General features: G+C 41.6%; 1 protein-coding gene across 1 annotated transcript in view, besides 1 other annotated feature; it reads left to right on the forward strand.

Moving 5' to 3' along the window:
- CACNA2D3 (calcium voltage-gated channel auxiliary subunit alpha2delta 3) overlaps positions 1–21,904 on the forward strand; it is a 952,006-nt gene that overhangs the window by 844,895 nt on the left and 85,207 nt on the right. The window contains exons 28-31 of the mRNA NM_018398.3: positions 1,004–1,065; positions 2,354–2,398; positions 17,162–17,224; positions 20,237–20,307. Of these exons, the coding sequence (NP_060868.2) occupies positions 1,004–1,065; positions 2,354–2,398; positions 17,162–17,224; positions 20,237–20,307 (241 nt within the window). The remainder of the gene's footprint in view (positions 1–1,003; positions 1,066–2,353; positions 2,399–17,161; positions 17,225–20,236; positions 20,308–21,904) is intronic.
- Positions 16,002–17,087: an enhancer, noted in NCBI's record as "VISTA enhancer hs1436". NCBI's record gives its function as "enhancer in: hindbrain (rhombencephalon)[6/12] | limb[11/12]" and the evidence as "EXISTENCE:transgenic organism evidence [ECO:0001131][PMID:17130149]".

The raw sequence follows: 21,904 nt of genomic DNA on the forward strand, positions 1-21,904 counted from the left end.
CTGTAGGTCTTTAAGCAAAAGAAAGAAATGTGGAAGGACAATAAGAGTATTGGTGGTATGCAAATATGGTAAAAATGGGGAGGTTGTGTGCAACAGACTACAGTTTGCAAAACTGCACTGGGGTAAATGACGTGCTCCAGGGAATTCAGTATTCCCTGTAGTCTCATTCTTCTGAACGCCTCTCAAGTTTTCCCACCATCTGAGGAGCATTTTGCCCTTACCATTTTACTTCCTGAGATGGTTTCAGGTCTTTCAAGTGGTTTGGGCTTCATGGAGAAAAATAAGGTGAACTTCCTCATGTTATAGTTTTGAGGTTCCACTAAATTTCACTTCCCAAAGTTTCAAGTCACATTCTTAACCTCTTCTCTTTTTGGCTGTTTCTGTCACTAGAACTAGCATTCACAGTTGCTTTAGGAAGCTTTTCACAGACAAAGAAAAAATTACATAATTTTACCAGAGTTCCATGGGAGAGAAGAACCTTGAGATGTGGACTCTAGGAGGCCAGTTAAACTAAGACACATTATAGTAAAGTGACTCACTTCTGAATTCTAGCCTCATGACAAGTGCTTTTCAAATGTTACGTCTCAAAAACACATGCAGAGTACACATTTTAGACATGCAAGTTCAAACAGTAATAGCTGACAGGAACTGAAGCAATAGTGATCTTTTGAATTTTTTTTTTTCTTTCCTCTTCTCAGCTTGTGTTGGGGTGGGGGTAGGGGCAGTGGTGCAAGCATATGAATTTTAGAAATGCCGAAGTAACATGTCTCCAAAGAGCGATCTGCACTGTGCTGTTTGTTTTGTATCGAGAGTTCTGTGAGTGCAGGTAAACTTGAGAATTCTTTACCTGAAAGATAAAATGTTTTAGTTGTATGCTTCACTGTACATTTTATTTTATATGCTTATATCAGCTTCTTGCCATGACGGATAATTTTCAACGATAATCTTAAATAATTGTGTAAAGGGATCACTAATGCCTTGTTTTATTTATAATTTGTCCCAGCTGTAGGCATTCAGATGAAACTTGAATTTTTCCAAAGGAAGTTCTGGACTGCCAGCAGACAGGTAAGTTATAATCAGCATCTTGAAGCATTAGCGACACTGTTATTATACAGGTGTTCCCATTTGGGTACCTGGAGCCTGAAAGTGCCAGATTTCCGATGAATGTTTGTAAAATCAACTGCCGGCTGCTCAGATTACCTTTCATTTCACTGCAAAATAAAGGGCTGTCAGCATGTTAGACACCACATGCTGAGCAAAGCAGGGAATTTGCTCCTAGGAACAGTTTTAATTGTGGGATCAAGATAGTGACCTTCCAAAGGAGTTTTTCTTTTAAGTATTGGGGCCTTTTGTGAGATTTTCATTCTGACTTTCTCCTAATCCTGTGGTCGTGCCTGGTTACTTACTTGTGAATCTCATTATCAAAATCTAGAAACCCTTTACGTAACTAGTTTCTCCAAAACATGTATCTGACTTCTTTGTTCACAGGGTCTACCTTGGAGAATCTGGGAACATTGTTTTCTTTTCGCTATGCTCTCTGTACTAAGTCATCTCAGTGGTATTTGTTGAGTAATTTGGTAGAAAGGGCCACTGATAAGTTGCTTCCATCTGACCAAGAATAAATGTTAGAATGGCTTATCATCCTTTAAATTAAGATACTTTAGGAAGCTATAAACTAAGGAGATGGACAGGGGTTTTTTAAAGTCACTGAGAATTAATGAATTTTAAATTAATTACATAATTGTATTTTTAGTTACCAAAAGATTTGAGATCTTAAAAAGATATCATTACTGTTTAATGACAACATAAAGTAGACTTTTTTTTTTTTTTTTTGAGATAGTCTTGCTCTGTCTCCCAGGCTGGAGTGCAGTGGTGCGATCTCGACTCACTGCACCCTCCACCTCCCTGGTTCAAGTGATTCTCCTGCCTCAGCCTCCTGAGTAGCTGGGATTACAGGTGCCTGCCACCACACTAGGGTAATTTTTGTATGTTTTAGTAGAGATGGGATTTCGCCATGTGGCCAGGCTGGTCTCGAACTCCTGACCTCAAGTGATCTGCCCTCCTTGGCCTCCCAAAGTGCAGGGATTACAGGTGTGAGCCACTGTGCCTGCCCCACCCCGCTCAGTTGTTTCATAGATCTTTTATTTTACATTACTACTTGGAATTGATACTGATTCCAGAGATAGTAGACAAGACACATCATGGAGCATTCCTTTTCAATGAAATTGGGTATTTGAATTCTAGCCCATGACTTGGATAGCTTGTCCTTAAGTAGCTCAGTGGCAGCCACAGCAGGCACTGGGATGCCCAAGTAACATAGTAACACATTTCCCTCCACTTTTTGCCTTCACAGTGTGCTTCCCTGGATGGCAAATGCTCCATCAGCTGTGATGATGAGGTAAGACGGCCTCCTGGTCCTGTTTCTACCCCTGTGGATAGAAGGTGACAGATGGTGCTTTATGACCGAGGGAATGCCCTTATAAACAAGGCCAGGTTGACGCATTGTACTGGGCCAATCTAAAAAAAAAAAAATCATTTGCTTTATTTGCTTTGTTTCTTTTTTTTTGTTCCCCACCTCCCATCAGTTTATGACAGCTGGAAATGTGCTTTAAATGTCTCATGGATAGCACTATTGGAATTTTGACATTTTGTAGGAAATAATACAAACTCCTAACTCCTACTGTTTGAAGCTCACATTACAATTCTCAAACCTTTTTCTACATGCCTTAATCTCTTTCCATCCTTGCAACAACCGGTGAAATAGGTAGGACTTGTTGACCCATCTTGCAGATAAGAAAAACTGAGCATCAGAGAAATTAAGTGATTCAGCTAATTTCATGTAATAAGCAAACAAAAAACCTAGGAGTTAAAAACTTTGAAACTCAAAATGTTTCTTTGTAGCATACTGCTTCTCTCCTACAAATCTTTTCTTTTTTCTTTTCTTTCTCCTCTTCTGTTCTCTCTCTCTCTCTCCGTCTCCCTCCTCTCCTCCCCTCCCCTCCCCTCCTCTCCTCCCCTCCGTTCCTCACCCCTCTCCTCCCTTCCCCTCCCCTCCCCTCCTCTCCCCTCCCCTCCTCTCCTATCCTTTCTTCTCCTCTCCTCCCCTCCGTTCCTCACCCCTCTCCTCCCTTCCCCTCCCCTCCTCTCCTCTCCCCTCCCCTCTCCTCTGCTCTCCTCTCCTCTCCTCTTTTTCTCTCTCTCTGCCTTTTGGGAGGAGGGATTTTAATCCTACACATGCGCAATGGAAGAAGAAACTATGCCACTACCCAAAGTGTTTCCATCTGCCTTATGTTTTTATACCTTGCCATCCCATACCCTCTGCCCCACGTTTTGGAGCAGGCAGAAGCATGGTGGCCTTTTCACTTCTCCTGAGGTAGCCTTTCTCTCTCTGCATCAGTGAAACAGCAGTCAATATGTAAACTAGACCTTATAAATAGTCACATATTTATATTCCTTCTGCTTATCATGAGGACTTAAGAAATCCTAACCAAACAATTTCAACCCAGAAAACATAGATTAGGAAGTAGATTTCAAAAAGGTGGACAAAGGAAAAACAAGTAAGGAAATATAAAAGGAAGTCCAGGATGAAGTTAAAACAAAATGCTCGGTCCCAGAGGATCTGGCTGCTGGTTAGAAAATCATAATCATTGTATGAGTCACAGTATCAAAAAAAAAAAAGCCAGTCAGCAAAGTTTTCTGCAGAAGCCCAAGTTTCTGTGATCATCAGATCAAAACTAATTTCCCCTTAGGAAAGAATACCCTGTGAAGTTGTATGGTCCACACCCTTTTCAGCAAGTTCAGGGATAATTTTTGTAGGATAGTCAAGTGGGCCTCAAGCCTCTCCCATGTCTTTGAGACATTTATTGTCTTATTGGAGTGCTCAGCTCAAGAACAACACAACTCAATAGTAGTAGTGATTAATCAGTGTCTCGAGGCCCTGTGTTAAGCTCTTCACTTGCACAGTGGGTATAATTATGAATCCCAGTTTTACAGTAAGAGGAGTGAGGATGGTTAGTTGGTTAGTTGGCTGATTGTACAGATGGTTGGACGGGTGGCTCACAGCTAGGGCAGTAGCTTGAATAGTTGGTTGGCTCATTGGTTGGTTGGTTACGTAGTTGGTCGATTGATTGGATAGATGGTTGGATAGTTGGTTAAACAATTTTATAACTAAAGCCAGAGACAGTAATCTTCCCAGAACCCACACTGCCTCAGTGCATCCTTATATAAAAACAAGTGGAAATGGATTTCCACTTAGAGTTGGAAACATCCAATACATGTTCATTCTTCAATGACTGCTTTCACAGGCAGTCTAACATGGTGGTTAAAGGCAAAACTATTTACACTGACTAGCTTCAAGTCGTGACTCTGACAGTAATAAAATGTGTGACCTTGGGCAAGTTTCCAAATCTTTCCATGCCTCAGTTTTCTCAACTATACAATGGGGATAGAAATATCCACCTCACAGAGTAATGGTGAAGAATGAATAGATAAGACATGAACAATGCATGGTATGGCTCCTGGAAATGATAAGCATTCAATAAATGTTGTTTATAAATTTAAAAAAAAACAAACTCTGAAGATGTTTTCTTCCATGCTGTGGTTTCAGGTTGCTGGATTTGAAACCTCAGACAGCAATGGTATATACACTTTGGGCAAGTGACAGTTTCCCCTGGGCATAGTAAGCACAGGCTACGACCTCTTGCTCACTGCTAACAATGTTCTTTTAGCAACCATTGGGATAAACCCCTATTCAAATGTCATTTAAAGGTCCACATGCTTTGAAAATTAAGCCTTGAAGTTGCCCTGATTTCTGAACTTGATCTGATGCTCAAATATCCTGAGTTTGTACTTTGAAGCTGTCATCCGTTGTCCTCTTTGACTCTTAAATTTTGGTTCCAGGCAACCAATTGACACTGTTTTAAATAGAAAAGTCAGTCCTGCCTTCTCACCAAGGCCCCTTTCCATTGTTTCAGCAGACTCTTGCCATGTGTCATTCTCTTTTTTGTAACTTTTAATTAGGCATATGAGACCATGTTCCTCTCCCCCAACTGCCCTCGAATGATCAGGTCTCCATTAAAAACAGCTGTGGGGGCTCATTAAGTTCAGTGGTCTGACTTCTCCATTGCACTTATGACCTGGCCCAACTCCCTCGGGCTTATCAGACACACTTAGCCTTAGATCCACTCCAGCCCCTTTGTCTCCCCAGTCAATGCACTCTCTGGGCCTTGGCAGGAGTGCTGTGGCTGGTAGGTGGAGCCAGTGTGCCAGATGCTCTGCCATCTTGTAGAGGTGCATCTTTGGTTGGCCCAGTCAGAACCTGAGCCATGTGACTTGAGGGCCTGGCCATGGGGCTGACTTTTAAGGAGCTCCATTTCACCCAGGGTGAATGTTAACTTCCAAGCCATTGAGGCAACAGTTCACACACTCATTTCTTCCTTCAAGACATCTTTACCGAGCCCTTCTTAGGCACCTGGTGCCTGGCTGAGCACGGGGCAGTCAATGGGAAGCAGTCAGAAAAGGCCCTGCTCTCCTGAAGCTTACCGGTTAGCAGGAGAGATAAACTTATATGATCATCAATTGTGGTAAGTCCTGCAGAGTAAACTGACATGCGGTAGTCAGCGAAGGCTTCTCTGAGGGGGTAACATTTAAGTCAGCCAAAGAAGGAGATGATATTGAAGACAATTCCTGAAGCCTGAGAAGAGCTTTGCAAGCAGAGAACACCACTGTAGAGGCACCAAAGTGGCAAAGGGTCATTGTGGTCAAGGAAAACACAGTTAGCATTCAGGACAGAAGGGAGGAAGGAGGGCCACGTTCACCTCTGATCTCAGTCTGACCTGCAGGTGCTAGTGTTTCCTCACTGCTTTCAGTCTCTTTCTCCTTTTCCACTCACCTGTGCAACACTTCTCATCTCCTGATGAGAGTACCAGGAGTTAGCAAAGACGGTGGAAGGTGAGAAGGTGTCTCCTACTGAGGCATTGGAAGAGGTGTGACGGCAGCGAGAGAATCGAAAACTTCATGATCAAAGTCAGCTCTACCCTTTCTTGTTCCAAAGGAATAGAGGCTAATAACCCTTATTAAAAATCTCTAAGACTTTTCTAAGGCTTGTAGGCATTTCCTCTGGCATCAGAAAGACCTGCTTGAATTATGACAGGGCAACGAGAAGGGCTGCCTCCAGGCAGCCAGGCGCCTGCCTGCATGTTGGACTGCCCACCTCAGCCAGAGGGTAGGTTTGAGGACGATTTGAATAGCAAAGGAGGACAAGGGGGCACAGGTGACCCCTACCAAGTGCATCTTTCCTAGGTGACCCCTCTGCAATAAATTTTTTCAAAAGACAGTGTTTTGATATGATCATTAGTTAATGCAAAGATAGAGCAAATGATGTGAAGTAAGTGTCAAGCGTATTCCACAATGGAAATATTAGGGATTGGATCATGAGACCTGGAGAAAAGTAGCAAGGAGTGGCACCTTCCTGTGCCTGATGTACAGAGATTCAGGCCCCACCCTCAGATGCAAGAACCTAGTGTGTGTGTGTGTTTCTCTCTCCCTCTCTCCCCACAAATGAAGACAACAGGCAGTACAATACCGGGTTTCTAAGTGAGTTGTTTCTCCAATCAAACAAAAGGCATCCTTCCAAACAAAAGGCAAAAAGCAGCAAAGCTCAGCCAGTCAGCCGGGACCTCCTGCTATGAACTATGTAACAACTTCCGTTTCTGAAAAACTGTACAATTGTAGCATTAGGATACTTGTAAAAATCACACATCATAGGTGACCAATAAACATTTGCTGAGCAGATGGAAGCCTGTGTTCTTGGAGGACTTACTATGCACTAGGTACTATGCTCAGTACTTTACATGCACCCTCCCATTTAATCTCAGCAACATTATGAAATAGTTGGTGCTATCTCCATCTTTCAGATCAGAAAACAGACTCGGAGTGTTAGAAAGACTTTGTTTGAGGTCACACCGACAGCAGATGTCATAGTCTGTGATTCTCAAACTGGTGTCTTAGCCTTTGGGCTAGTACCCCTTCCAGTGTACACAAGGTTAGTACTGCCATTTGTCACTCCCAGGCACCCTGCCCTTCCAATCTGTGACTGCCCAATTCCCATGGCCTGGGTTTGGGCTTTAACTTCAGGTATCTACCTGATCCACCTCTGTGACTAAGAATCAGACTTCTCTGAGTAATACGGAGCCATCCGAATAGTTGCAGGAAGATGCCTTTTTTAAAACATCAACTTCCCTCTGTGCTCTCCACCCTGCCCTTTATTGCTGCCTTTTTAAAAACAACCTCATCCCCAGATGTTTTGCCAAAGGTAGTTGTGGAGTAGGTGCTTACAAGTGTCTGTTTGAACTCCTAATTTCTTCAAGCTCTTCAACTTGTTAGTGCACCCTTGGGGCAGGGTGACAGATAGACATCTTCTAAGATGTTGGGCTTAATTTGGGAGGAAAGGGTAGCACAAGCGAGGGAAAGCTGAGAAAATAGTTCCCATTTCCTTTTATTGGACAGGCCATATGGAGAAGGGAATTGAATATTATTTATTGTAAAGTGATATGGAAAAAACAGTTGATCAGACTGGACTCTAGCTAATTCTGTCCTAATTTATCCATAAACCCAGCACTCTGACCCCCTAACTCCAGTGGGCTCACTCCACTGCACTCTACTTCTCAATAATAATTTAATCCAAGTGGTCATTGACAGGGAGGTCTGTTTAGAAAGTCATCTTGTCACTCAATTTGCCTTTTAATGTTTACAGTTAGACAAAGTAACAGCAGTGTCTATAAAGAAAATGTGGCTGGGCACGATGGCTCACACCTGTAATCCCAGCACTTTGGGAGGCCAAGGCAGGCAGATCACTTGAGGTCAGGAGTTTGAGAGCAGCCTGGCCAACATGGTGAAATCCCGTCTTTACTAAAAATACAAAAATTAGCTAGGCATTGGGGTGTGCACCTGTAGTCTCAGCTACTCAGGAGGCTGAAGCAGGAGAATCACCTGAACCTGGGAGGCAGAGGTTGCAGTGAGCTAACATCTCATGCCACTGCACTCCAGCCTGGGCAACAGAGTGAGACTTGGTCTCCAAAAAAAAAAAAAAAAAAAAAAAAAACAACGTGGCCCCCTTTGGTGGAAATGGAAGCTTAGGCATGTTGTCCTTCAGGATCCCTGGCCAGTTCTCCGCCTTGTTCTCTTCCCATCATTGTTTGCTAGGATGTAGAGCAATCTTACCAAAATGAGTGGTTCATTAAGTATATTTTTAGACTCTAGCCTATAATGGACATATTTTTTTCTTCCATAGATTATTCTGTAGCAAGTTGTGGAGATGGATAGAAAAAATCCCCCTAAACTATGTCTTGGTTCAGATATTAGCTCAAGAATTGCTATGCCCAGGGAGTCTAGGAACCTATAATTGGGGTTGATACCACTTGACCAAACTGACCCAGACGTCAGTCACTTTTATTGTTTTTACTTGCTTTCAGCCACAATAATAACACCCCAGACACTTGGTACATTGATTTTTCTGCCATTTGTTGTGGTTTCCTTTGGTAGCAGGTGTCAGACAAGATCTGTCTTAGGTATCCATAGAGATTAGATATAAATATAGGTATAGATATAGATACACACACACACACACACACACACACACACACACACATTATATAAAGGGATTGCTTTTTTCAAACAAGCAAAGCCTTCCATGAGCAGGCAAAATCCCTAGACCCTACTGTGTCCTGCTGTCTTTTAGAAAGTAAGGGTGGGGGTCAGCCAGTAGAAAGAGTGTGGGCTTTGGAGTCCCATAGCAATGGACTCAAGTCTCACTTGTGTGTGTGTGACCTTGGAGAAGACAACATCTCACAACAGTCCCCAGAGTGTGATGTTCCCCTTCCTGTTGTGGGGTGGGGGGAGGGGGGAGAGATAGCATTGGGAGATATACCTAATGCTAGATGACGAGTTAGTGGGTTGCAGTGCACCAGCATGTCACATGTATACATATGTAACTAACCTGCACATTGTGCACATGTACCCTAAAACTTAAAGTATAATAATAATAATTAAAAAAAGACAACATCTCAGTTTTCTCTTCTTTCCAAGAGAAAAATTCCCTGCTTGATGCTGTGAAAAGTGAGGTTTTCATGAGTCGATGTCCTCCTGTAGCTGCCATCCTCCTTATTCTTCTTCTTACATTCTTATTGTTACTATTATTAGTGACAGTCATGTTTTATGAAAAACTTCTTTGTGTGATAGTTTTCATCTGGTATTCTCCCAAGGAGGCCACTCCCCTATTTTTGCAGCTTGGTTTTCCAAGTTCTGAGTTAAAGCAGTGTTTGCCCCTGCTCCAGAGCTCTCAGCTCTGTTCCTTCCACACCAGAAGTGGGAGTGGGAGGGAGCAGGGCAGACGCCTGAGAAGTGAGTCTTCTGATCTCCCTTCTACTGGTGCTGGCTGTTATAAGGAGCATTATAAGGAGGGCCTCGTTCTAAGAAGAAAGGTCAGAAAAAGAACCAAATGTTTACAGCAAATAATAAAAAGTTATTTTGAATATTTTTCTCTAAATAAAGTGGAAAGTATGAAACTGTGTTTATTTTTTAAATAAATTTAGGTTATATTTGCAATTGTACTCTAATTTTCCAAAGAAACAAATGGGGTAAGGGGCCAGGAGTTTAGTGTTTCTGATAAGATGATAAAATAGCACAATATGAAATCCTTCACTTTATATTTTGATTTTTCTCAGAATGACCACAAAAAGGGTAAAATATAGTAAAGAGTTTGATCAATTTTCCTAGGGTACTTTTCTTAGTCCTTTGCTGTTGAAATTATTCTCTTTGGAAGTACAGCTCATGTTTTATTTGTAGCAGGTATTTTTTCATCTTTCTGCCTCTGACAGATTCTAATGTGCCAATGGCTTCCTGTGCGATTGGAGCTGTTTAACGTTACTTTCATGGACTTCATGAAATCTTGCCTCTTTGTCAAGATTTTCAATTGACTTTATAATCTATTTGCCTTGTACCTGTATTGCATTGCTCAATATTTACAGTATTAGGCAAACAGAAAGATATTGACCAAAGATGTAGGTCTAATAGCAAGAGTACTAATTAGTTAGAGATGTTGGAGTAGGGACTAAGTTTTAACTAGGAGTAGAGGTTATGATGATTTGTGGCCTTATATGCAGCTGTGGGGATTTGAATATTGACAGTATCTGAATATGGAGGCCACTTCTGTACTCAACATGTATTTACTGACTCAACAGAGGTTAGCCGCCCCTTGCTTCATTGTCTGTATCTGCAGAATGAGCATCATGATGTTACCTGAAAGGGATCCCAATCCAGACCCCAAGAGAGGGTTCTTGGACCTCATACAAGAAAGAATTCATGGAAAGTCCACAGAGTAAACTGAAAACAAGTTTATTAAGAACATAAAGCAATAAAAGAATGGGTGTTCCATAGGCAGAGCAGCCTCGAGGGCTGCTGGTTACCCATTTTTATCGTTATTTCTTGATGATATGCTAAACAATGGGTGGATTATTCATGCCTCTCCTTTTTAGACCGTATAGGGTATCTTCCTGACGTTGCCATGGCATTTGTAAACTGTCATGGCACTGGTGGGAGTGTAGCAGTGAGGATGATCAGAGTTTACTCTCATCACCATCTTGGTTTTGGTGGTTTTAGCCAGCTTCTTTACTGCATCCTGTTTATCAGCAAGATCTTTATGACCTGTATCTTGTGCTGACCTCCTAACTCATCCTGTGACACAGAATGCCTTAACCGTCTGGGAATGCAGCCCAATAGGTCTCAGCCTCATTTTACCCAGCCCCTATTCAAGATGGAGTTGCTCTGGTTCAAACACCTCTAACATTTCCCCCGTCCCTTTTATAAGAAAACCCTTAATCCTAAGGGTTGCAGAGGGATAAAGATGCATCTTCTGTAACTTCTTCAAGCTGATAGGGGCAATGCCATTCCTGCCTAACTATTGGGTCTCTTGCATTCAGGGTAGATAGAGAGGAGCTCAGTCAGAAAGCATTGGTATGGCAAGGGCCGTTCATGACTCCGAGTTCTGACAAAAGATGATATCTAGAAGATTAAAAAGTGCTCAGTGTAAGAAAACATTTAGTAAGCTTGTCCAGCATTTCTACACAAAGAGTACAATAGCAACGTATTCCAAAACAGTAAAACAAAATAAGTAAAATTATCCCAAGTAAACTAAATAAGGCGTTCCATGAACTGGGCAACTATTGGAACCAAGCTGATATGAGGTTGCTAGCTGATTCCAATACATGCCCAGAATTAGAATATTGATCCAGATTTTTACATTACCCATCCCTGTTGTTTCTTCTGAGCAGCAGTCAAGAGATCACTGGTTGGTTCACAGGAATAAACAGGGTTGGCCTAAATTACAGAAAAAAACCTTAAAATCAACTGATGAGACTAGAACTTAATAACAGGTTATACCACAGTTCTTGAAACATAATTGTTCTCTAGTTTCCCATTTTTGCTGGAGACAAATCATAGTAAGACTAATTTGCTTTATTATACTTGGCCTGATTATTTGTATACAGTGCAGCAAGAATAATTATTTTTCACATAGGCTTTTAAATTTGTCTTTGATGAAATTTTGTTCCATAGAGGGAATCTCAGATAAGACTTTTTTTTAAAGCCAAGCCTAGCCATGGGTTTGTACCCCAGATATCTATGAGTTGAGTAAATTCTTCTCCTCTTGAGGTCCCAAAATAACTTGGGGCTCCTGGGCCTTTCAGAAGGTGACATTCTTTACTTACCACAGGTCAGGAACCCTGTACAGGGACTGTGTAGACAAGGTATGAGGCTAGTTTTTTTCAAGGGGCTCTTCTTGGCTCTCTAAGTCAAGTTTGATTCCTTAAAGGTAAACACACCATTCCAGTCAAAGCCTTGGTAAAATAACCAGTTTCTCCAGTTGTATCCTATTACAATAGAAAAGAGATTCTTACTGCATTTATGCAAATAACTATATTGCCATAAGTTAAGATACTCTCAAATAGTTTCCAAATTCTGGAGGAACCAGGTAGAGAGAAACAAATATTCTCTAAATTTTTTCGCAGAAGTATAGTTTACTCAATTGTTAAAAGCTGTAAATAGCTCAAAAGAAAAATTTTCTTGGCCCTGGAAAACAAAAAGGATCAGCAATGTTTTAAGCAAAAAAGTAAAAGAAAAATATTACTTCAGTTTTTTATTAGTTCAGTTCATGCAGTTGACTCCTATTCTGCTTGAACAGAACTCCTGTTCTGTCATGAACATTTCAGCTCTCTGTGAGAGTCCTGAAACTTTCTTCCTCTATTCTAATGTCACAATCTCCAACATTATCAGAAATCTGCATTCAATAGCACTGTCAGAGTTCTATAGTTGATTATAAACCATCTCTTGAAGAAGATTAAAACAAGACAACAGTTGTCTGTGGATGATAAAAAGTCTTAGGACAGCCACTATTAAAGCCACAATTGATAAAGAAATTTGGTTACTTCTGTGGCATCCAAATCTTACATAACAATTATAACTATTAATAACATACAGTAAGCCATGTTAGAATTATAGGACTTCTTATAATTTTGGAACACATACCAATAGCACAACTATATAAATATATCCCAAAGAAAGCCAAACACTGTTTCACATTTGATAATGCTTCCTGTTATGATTTTTATACCAAATAAGCCAAGTTTTACCTTTGCATTAGTGTACTATTAATGTTAAATCCAATTCTTAATAAAACCTTATAGACAAATGTATTCAGTCTTAATCAGTTTGACCACGAGGTAAGATTTTCATAAACCTTGTATAACCCTTTACATTTTTTTGTGAAAGAGCAGATCAGTGTTCTAAGAAAAACCTGTTGTGCTTTTATTCCAGTGTTTAATTTACAGAAAAACTGAATACTACCTCTTTAACTTTAGTCAATGTCCACACACAGAATTTCTTTTACCATTAATTTTTTTACAAACCTTCCACAAGTCATTCAAACTTTTAGCTTTATCCTAACTTAAAACAATCCTTTAACCCTTTAATCTAGGCAGAAAAAATCCACCTTCCAAAATATATTCTACTTTTCTTACACACCTTGAGTGTAGAACTGTTTCCTTGGTGGTCTCAAATACATGTTACAGTGTTAACTCTTAGCAACTTTTACTTTTGGTAAAAACCTTGGTAAGTAAGGGATTTTAATTATGTACTAGGTGCCGAGCCTAGGACACCATAAGGTCTGACTGTTTCCAGCATAACTAGAGGGCATGACTCTCCATATGTCCCCAGGCCTTATCTAGAGTCTAATGCTGCAAAATAGGTAAGCTGAACAATTTTCAAAAATCAAAGAAGCAGTTTATGACCTTAAAATATTTAGCAAAGCTAATATCTGACTTGCATAATTTAGACCAAATGTTTACATTTTTGAAGGTATTTTTATTTTATCAATAATCTTTAAAACTATCTTTATTTCCCAAAGATTACTAAAGTCACCTGAACTAAAAGACATTACACTTTTTACTTTTCTGACAATATTTGATTTAAGCACCTATTATTTTTAAGCCAATGAATCAAAGCTCTTTTATATTACACATACAACACATATAAATACACAGACAGGCAGAAGATAAAAGACTCATTCCCTAAACCAGGAATTGAACCCTGAACCCATGCTGCCATGGTGAAAAGAGAAAGCACAGTCACATGGTTACAAGGTCAAGTTTCCAAGGACATACAAGACAATAGGGAAATGTCATCCAGTTCTTTTTTCTTTTTTCAGGGATGTGCAGCAAAGTTTTTAACTGACCAGTTTGTTGCGCCTTCTTGAACAGTGGTTTTATGGGAGTCCTAGGCTCGCACTGTATCTTAGAGTACCCCTCTTTTATGACAGAACAATACAGAAAGACACACACAGCACACCAGATTCACTACAGTTTAAGACTAGCCTCACAAATCCTTTTTCCCATTTATCAAAACTTTACAGAGGATTTTTTACCTAACAGAGGATAAATCCTTTACAGAGAATTTTTACCTAAACAGTGATTTTTACCATTCATTCAACCCATTGGGAGCGAGGGGGAGAGAAAGAAAGAGAGGAAAAAGGAGAGAGAGAGAGAAAGGGGGGCTGGGGAGAGAGAGAAAAAGAGGCTAGAAGTCTGACTGGTAAGAAATGTTTACCCTTTTATTGGCATCCCAGGCTTCTGGGTTCCCTTTCCCTGAGCAGCCGTAGTGACCGGGCTGGCTGGACCACAGCCCTGGGAGCCAAGCCGCAACACAAAGGAAAATGATTTTCCATTCTGGCCAGAGCAAAATACATGTGACAAAACACAGACATTAGCCCCTTTGCTTAGCGCCCAGTATCAAACTGGCAAGGCTCATACTTGCCCCCCCATTGGGTCCCATCATTGTTAATCCAACCTCTGACCAGGAGTTTCAACTTGTTGCCTCTGGGCAAGATGGTGGCCCTGGGTAACAGAAAAGATAAGAAAGGTAAAGGAGAGAGAGCAAAGCACTGCCTGTGGCAGGGTGGGGAAAGTGAAGAGCTCAGGGAGGCCAGAAAAAGACTCACCTATTGCAGTGAAACTAAAAAGTTCAGGTGGCCACTTGTCGGTAGTGAAGGGATGTTTTCTGGCAGTCCCATCAGCTCTCAAGTTTCCCTTTTTCGGGGGAGGAAAAAGCTCCCCATGTCCTGTGGTCCTGTACATGCCTTATCCTGTCACCCATAGCCCTTAGCAACAAGTGCAAGACAGATTAATCCAAAGAGAATAGTAGTTAACATTCCATAGTGCCAAACCCGTTCTTAGCTGAGAGGGACTTTACTGAGAGGAGCCTCTAACCCCCTAAATCCTAGGAATGACTCTAACCTTCCTGAGTTGAGCCTTGAACCCAAGTTTGATCAAGCATCTTTGCCTTTCATTAATAGGAGCCTTTAGCCCACTCTGCCTTAGGAGAGACTCTTAACTCCCCTAAGTTGGGCCTCTAACCCAGTCCCATCCTTTACCCAGGTAGATGCACCCCACTTACCCAAAGTCAGTCAACTGGTGCATGCAGATGATTTTCCTTTGGGTTGGGGGTCTCTTCAGTATCATCCACCTGGGATTCACCAGAAAGATGTTACTGGAAACGGGTCCTGATCCAGACCCCAGGAGAGGGTTCTTGGATCTCATGTAAGAAGGAATTCAGGGCAAGTTTATAAAGTGAAAACAAGTTTATTAGGAAAGTAAAGGGATCAAGAATGGCTACACTGTAGGCAGAGCATCCTTGAGGGCTGCTGGTTGCCCATTTTTATGTTTTTTTTTTTTTTAATTATAGGCTAAACAAGGGGTGGATGATTCATGCCTCCCCTTTTTAGACCAATAGGGTAACTTCTTGACATTGCCGTGACATTTCTATACTGTCATGGCATTGGTGGGAGTATAGCAGTGAAGACGACCAGAGGTCACACTCATCGCCACTTTGGTTTTGGTGGGTTTTAGCCGGCTTCTTTACTGCAACCTGTTGTATCAGCAAGGTCTTTATGACTTGTTGTATCTTATGCCGACCTACTATCTCATCCTGTGACTTAGAATGCCTTAACTTTCTGGGAATGCAGCCCAACAGGTCTTAGCCTCATTTTCTCCAGCCTCTAAAGATGGAATTGCTCTGGTTCAAATGCTTCTGGCAATGACATTCAGATCAGCAAGGATACAGAGTTGTCTGTTATGACCCAATGTAGACTAGGTTAAAACTCATTGTAGTACTAGTATAATCTAAGACATTGCTGTCCAGAAGAACTTTCCACAATGATATAAATGTCCAAAAGTGTAGTCACTAACCAGAGGTAGCTGTGGAACCCTTGAAATGTGACTTGTGCAACTAAGGAACTGAATTTTTAGTTGCATTAATTTTAATTAAGTTGAAATTAAATTTAAATTTACATAAGGCTGGTGGCTACCATATTAGAAACACAGTTCTATGAGATTGCTTCCATGATGCTATCTCCTGACAATGGAGAAAGCTTATCAAGACTCCCTCCAGGACCAAGGTAGTTTCCCTGAGGCCAAGAGCTTCTTCAAATAGCAAAGCTGTGAACAGGTTACTCAAGTAATTCATCTGATCCCTTTGTATAACCAGGAGAAGCTCTGCTGTTCACCAGAGCAGCCAACTCTTTTATAAGAGGTGCTAGCAGGGCTTTTAATTTTCTGTTGATTCTGCACAGTCACTGTCTAGTAATAAAGGACGGACCATTCTGACCAACTCACTGCTGCCCTTTTGTGCCTAACCAAAACCACCCCTGTGGATAGGCAAATGTCCCAGAAAACATCAGCCCCGTGGTGGCCTGGAGCTAGGCGGAATTTAGCTCAGAGTAAAGATATGTTACAAATTAAATGTTGCAGTTGGTATGTAAAGCTGTAATAAATAGAAACTGAGTTACATCAAGGACGGAATTAAACCTTAAGTTTAAACTCCACAGCACTGTAATTAAAACTTAGCCTGTAGCAAATCATTCACTTGAGATTAAAGTAGTGTGGGGGAAGCAGAGGTTTGGGCTTACCTTGCTTTCTACAATTTATAAGTCTGAGCTACCAAAAGCTAACGGCCCTGCCCCCAAATCCAGCTCCCAATTAAAAACACAGTTTGAAAACCTTTAGGAGGCCTGAGGGGCCCCTTTAACAGAAGTCTGCCCCTTCCCCCCTGCCTCAGTCTATGAACAAATTAAAAAATATTACCTGGTCCCCTGATGGTCCTCTGAGCTGACACGGTGTTTTCATTAATACATCATTAGAGTAATGACATTGTGCTGGCGTTTTGCTTTCAAAACAGCCTGCACTTCAACCGCCAATACAGGCTTGGGGGCTTCTGAGCACTTTGTTCCTGGGAAATATTATTCAGGTCATATAAAGAAAAAAAAAAAGGAAGACAAACTGTAATTCATCATTTTTTAATGCAATTTTATTCCAATCTGGATCATTCAAGACTCGTTCAGTCTTTTATTTTTGTTAGTTTTGCAAAGTAAACACCGGGGTTATCTTAACCGTGGCCTTAAAGCCTAGAACCAGCAGGCTTTTGCAATTGCCTGAAAACAATTGCTTTCCAAAAAAATAAGTTTGTCTAAGGTTGGAAGTGTGTCATTCTGTTTAAAAGCAGTGTGATGGCCCGAAGTTGAAGCTGTTTTTTTGTTTTTGTTTTTTTTTTAATTTTCTAGACTGTGAATTGTTACCTCATAGACAATAATGGATTTATTTTGGTGTCTGAAGACTACACACAGGTGAGTGAAAATTTTCTACCAGCTCCAAGTAAGGATCTCAGAATGTGCTTGGGTCAGGGGGAACAAATTATGGTGTTAAAACTTGGAGACAATGATCTTTATTTAGGAGGTAATAGCAGGAGATTATAAAACCTTATTTCCATCCCTCTAAGAATGCCACAGTCTGCTTCTCAGCAGGCCCCAAAGAGTTTTTACCTCCCACTGGGGGGTGCAGGGGGGTGACAGTGCCCAGGGTCTGTTCTCTCACTCATAAAATGTTCAATTTATAGAACTCTTAGCCAAAGAGTTGTCTGTGCCACATAAAGAACTTTTGCCTCGAGGGTGGGGTGCCTTAAATAGTTTGGGCAACTTTAAGGTTTTTTTCCTTCCGATATTTCATCTTCATATGTGTGCACACACATACACGTATGTTTCTACATAATTATTGTTTATGGCTTTCGTTCTGGTTTTTGCTTTTTAAAAATCAGTTATCTGAGTTCAAGGATTAACAGCTTGGGCTCTCAACACCGAGGGACAAGGGTCCAGAGATAGAAGAGGAATATTCTTCATTTGACTGCACCATGTGCAGTGTAGGGGTGGGAGGGAGAGAGATGAAAAGAAACCAAGCTGTGGACTTGAGCACAGAAATCTCCACTCTGCCTGGAAATCAAAATAAGAGTTAAAGTCGATGGTACTGTAATAGAAAAACGAGTTTTTCCATTCAAATTTTCTGCATTAAAACTTTTCCTGCAATTAGAAATTACATTAACGTATAAAAAAAGGTAAAATACAAACAAGTTCAACAGTGCATATAATAAAGTAACGCCATCACAGGAGGAAGGTGGTTTCTGATGTTAGCTCTCTTCCTTAACTAGTTTTGGGATCATCAGCAAGTTCCTTAACTTGTCTAGACCTCTAGATAGGCTCTGTGCAATGAGGATGGTTGACGATATAAGGTTTCTTCTAATTCAAATATTTGAGTATACTAATACATTATAATGAAGTCTCTTTTAAATCATTTAAAATTCTTTAGTAGTCAGCAGTATGATAGGTTCACTGCTTAATCAATTAGTTAATTGTCCTTAAGTGTGGCTTCTTAGGGTCTGAAATGAATGGTTTGGTAATTTATAAACAGGGGCTCCAGGAAACTTGAGGAATTGTGCTTTCATTTCCTGTCTTATTTTATGAGAATGTTGTAGGATTTTCAGTGCCCCTTGGTTGCGCTATTGAGACTCAAAATGCCCATTCCCAGTCTCCTCTGATGCTTTACATCACTAGACATGGGACAGTCCGTGGACATTAGATAGGATGAATGGGCCCATGAAACAAGGCCAGTCCCTGAGACAGCAGGAAAGTCCTTTGGCCTATAGTTATATGCCCTGTTGGCTGGGAGGAGGAACATAGGCATTCAAGAATCTATGGAGCAAGAATACACATTAGTTGCCTAGAGGGAGGAGCTCTAGTCTTCTGCTCTACTCATGTAGGGGTGAGAGAGGAATGATCCCGGGGCTCAGGAAGGGTGCAGTGGATGTCTTCCGGGGGTGAGTCCTGGAGCAGCCAACAAATGATGGAAACAGTGTCTCTGTTTCAGCCATGAGCAGCCATGGCCACTACAGATTCTCTGCTCTATGTCTCCATGGAATAAGCCTGCGATAGACCCAGTGAGTTTGCCAGCCTGCTCAGCCTGGGCTTGTTTGATGTTGTCTGACTTCCTGTGCCCCAATTAGGATAATTCTTCATCTAACAACCAGTTTCATTGAAACTGGCACATTACACACACGAAATACAAATGTCCTTCTTGCTCCTAGCAGTAGTACACGCCCACAGAGTTTGCAAAAGTTTCCAAGTTTCCCTGTAGTGAAAAAGGAAGTGGTCAATATTCAGTCAGAGAAATGTTGTTTCCTTCTTCCTCCTTTTCTCCCCCTTTACATTTTGCCAAAGTTTATATATGTGTCTTGCTACCTGAAAACTCCCAGGAGTGTGGTTGAGGTCACTCAGTTAGTTGCAATGGAATTGGGGTTTAGTTAATACAAAGCCTACGGAATATACATAATTTGGATTCTTATTGCAGTGCCCTCCACCCACCCACCCACCCACTCACAAGCTACAAATCTTCAGAGCACCCAGAGTAGAGATGGGGCTTCTCTTCTGGTCAACACTGGCTCATTTCAGCATGTTGGCAGAAGGCCCTTACTGCAGGCTCTGTTCCATGCACTGCGTACGCCCTCCCCCATGGGACACCTTGCATGATAGTAGCTCCAGAAATTCAGAGGGCATGCATGAGGATGTTAATTCTTCATTCCACCAAAGTTTGCAAATCTTGGCCAGCACCAAGAAGTAGACTTACAAAAACATCAGCCTGGTGGTGGGGAATGACTGCAAAGCTTCGAATGACCTTAAGACAGCCTCAGGTGTGGGGTAGGCCATTAGAAGTCTCATTGGCCATGCTGTCTCCTCAAGGGGCTGGATAGTCTTACTCTTGGTCAACATGTCAACTGCCTATGACAAAATGAAAGTGATCCTCAGAAAGTGATTCTGAGAAAGGGTGGATTCTCAACTGCAGGAACTTTATTGGGCTGATGAAGTGGACTGCTGTATTTCCCTAAACAGGTCGTCCAGGAATTATAAACAATTCTTTTTATTAGTGCTTAGGAAGCCCTCTCATAGTCTGTTTCTGCCTATATGAAGTAGTGTTTTAATCACACGGGATTATGTGCATATTACTACCTACTCCATCCAAGGGTAGTGGGGTATGTGTGTGTGCACATGTGTGTGCATGCGTGTTTTAATTTCAGCATTCAGCATGGGTTACGCAGCCCCCTCCCACGTACTGTGGAAGCATTCACATCTGCTCTCTAGTTTGCTGTGTAATCCCATGAGTTCTCATGACTGTTAAAACCTTTTCCACTTTCCTGAAAACCTGCCTTTTGCTCCTGTCAGTTCCAGGACACAGACTGTGTCCCTTTTCATTTCTTCTCTCCTGTTTGGGCACATTATTTATCTACACCTCCTCATATGTCTTCTTCCCCATAGACTGGAGACTTTTTTGGTGAGATCGAGGGAGCTGTGATGAACAAATTGCTAACAATGGGCTCCTTTAAAAGGTAAGGGTTTTATGGTCCACTGCATTCCCCCCAAAAGTTTTCCTAAATAAAATAAAACAAGCCAAGGTCAAATAAAGCAAGCCCAGACTTGACCCTGTGGCTGGTTTTTACTTGTGTTCATGCTCCAAAAGATCTCTCTGAAATTCGATGCCTCTTGCACGAGTGTTAGAGTGTTAGAGTCTTAGAAACTCAGTTCACAATGAGTTTCCTGTTCACCCAGCAGAGCATTTATTGGAGGCCAGTATTGAAGTAGGAGGCTGCACTGTGATGTGATTATGTCAGTCTGAAGCAAGTCACTGCGAAGAAGTAGGAAAGGTTTTCACCTGGCCGGAAGGGTGGAGTGTATTTTGTCTCCTATTGATTAACCTGGGAAGCTCCCTAGAAATCTGGAACTTGGGGATGAAAGGTGGTATTTAGAGACTTCTTGATGTTGTTTTAGAAAATCAAGTGAAAATTCTCAAAATCCGCTCTTGATGGAGGTAAGTTTAAGTCTGCTTCTGGAAGAAAACCTAGATGGTGCCAAATTCCACAGGTGGCAGATACTGACTACTCATCCAGGTGTAAGAACTCTCGCTGATCCTGAATAAAGCTTGTGTAGAGCAGCTTCCTTATGGCCCCATGTCCCTCATGGGCAGGCCAGCCATGCTCTTGGGAATACCTAAACTTCTGGGAAAAGCCATCATCCCATGAGATCGGGTGTTAGAATGCCTCCCTGGGGGTCCATGCTGTCTCCCTTCCCTTGGCCTCCCAGGAAGAATGTTAGCCTTTCAAGTGGTGCTTTAATGGGCATATTTGATGCTGTTAAATATATAATGGCAGGAAATGCAAGGATGGCCCTCCAGCTTCCCTGAGAGATCCATTGCACATCGGTGGCCAGTGGGTAGGCAGGCCCCTGGTTTATTACTCTTCTGCGGCTGAATGGCTAGGAAGTGTTAGCTCAGGAAATCAGACTTTTAAGCTAGTCAACAAGACCAACTGAGCACTTTGCTGAAAGCAGGGAATTCAAAAATGATGACCCAGTGTTTGAAATTCCATAGCTTGTTTGTGCCAGAAGGGAAGAAAAAAAAAAGAAATGATATAAGAACCTGGCCTAGTGCCAGCACTTCTGCAATCTCTGACATACTTGCTTGCTCTCAGGCCTGCCTGTAGCAGATCGTCCCCTCCTGCTCCCTTCCCTTCTAAAAAAAATTCAAGTACAGTTTTCTTCTTTGCTGGGAGTCATTGTACACATGCTTGAAAACTCTGCTTGGATCTGGGCTGGAGTGGCTGTGGAGTTTTCCACCACTTCTTCAAGCTTCCTGCAGCAGCTCCTGGCCTGCCATCCACGGCACCACTGACTTTTCCTATCTTTATGTGGATGTGTGCATTTGTATCATGTTAACTTCTTTTCAACTTGGTGGGGGGAGGAGACAAAAGATGAGGAATAATCGCACACGTGTTTCTCATTTGAAAGCACATTTTTCAACTTCTTTAACAAACCTATTTTTTCCTCTCCCTCTTGGATATTCCTTTCAAACTGTTTGGTGGGAGAAAGAGAAAGGGTGTAATGGAATTTTGAACCTCTAGTCTTCTCCTTCATGTGGGTGAAGTACAGTTG

Source organism: Homo sapiens, chromosome 3 (assembly GCF_000001405.40).
Source record: "Homo sapiens chromosome 3, GRCh38.p14 Primary Assembly".
NCBI lineage: Eukaryota > Metazoa > Chordata > Mammalia > Primates > Hominidae > Homo > Homo sapiens.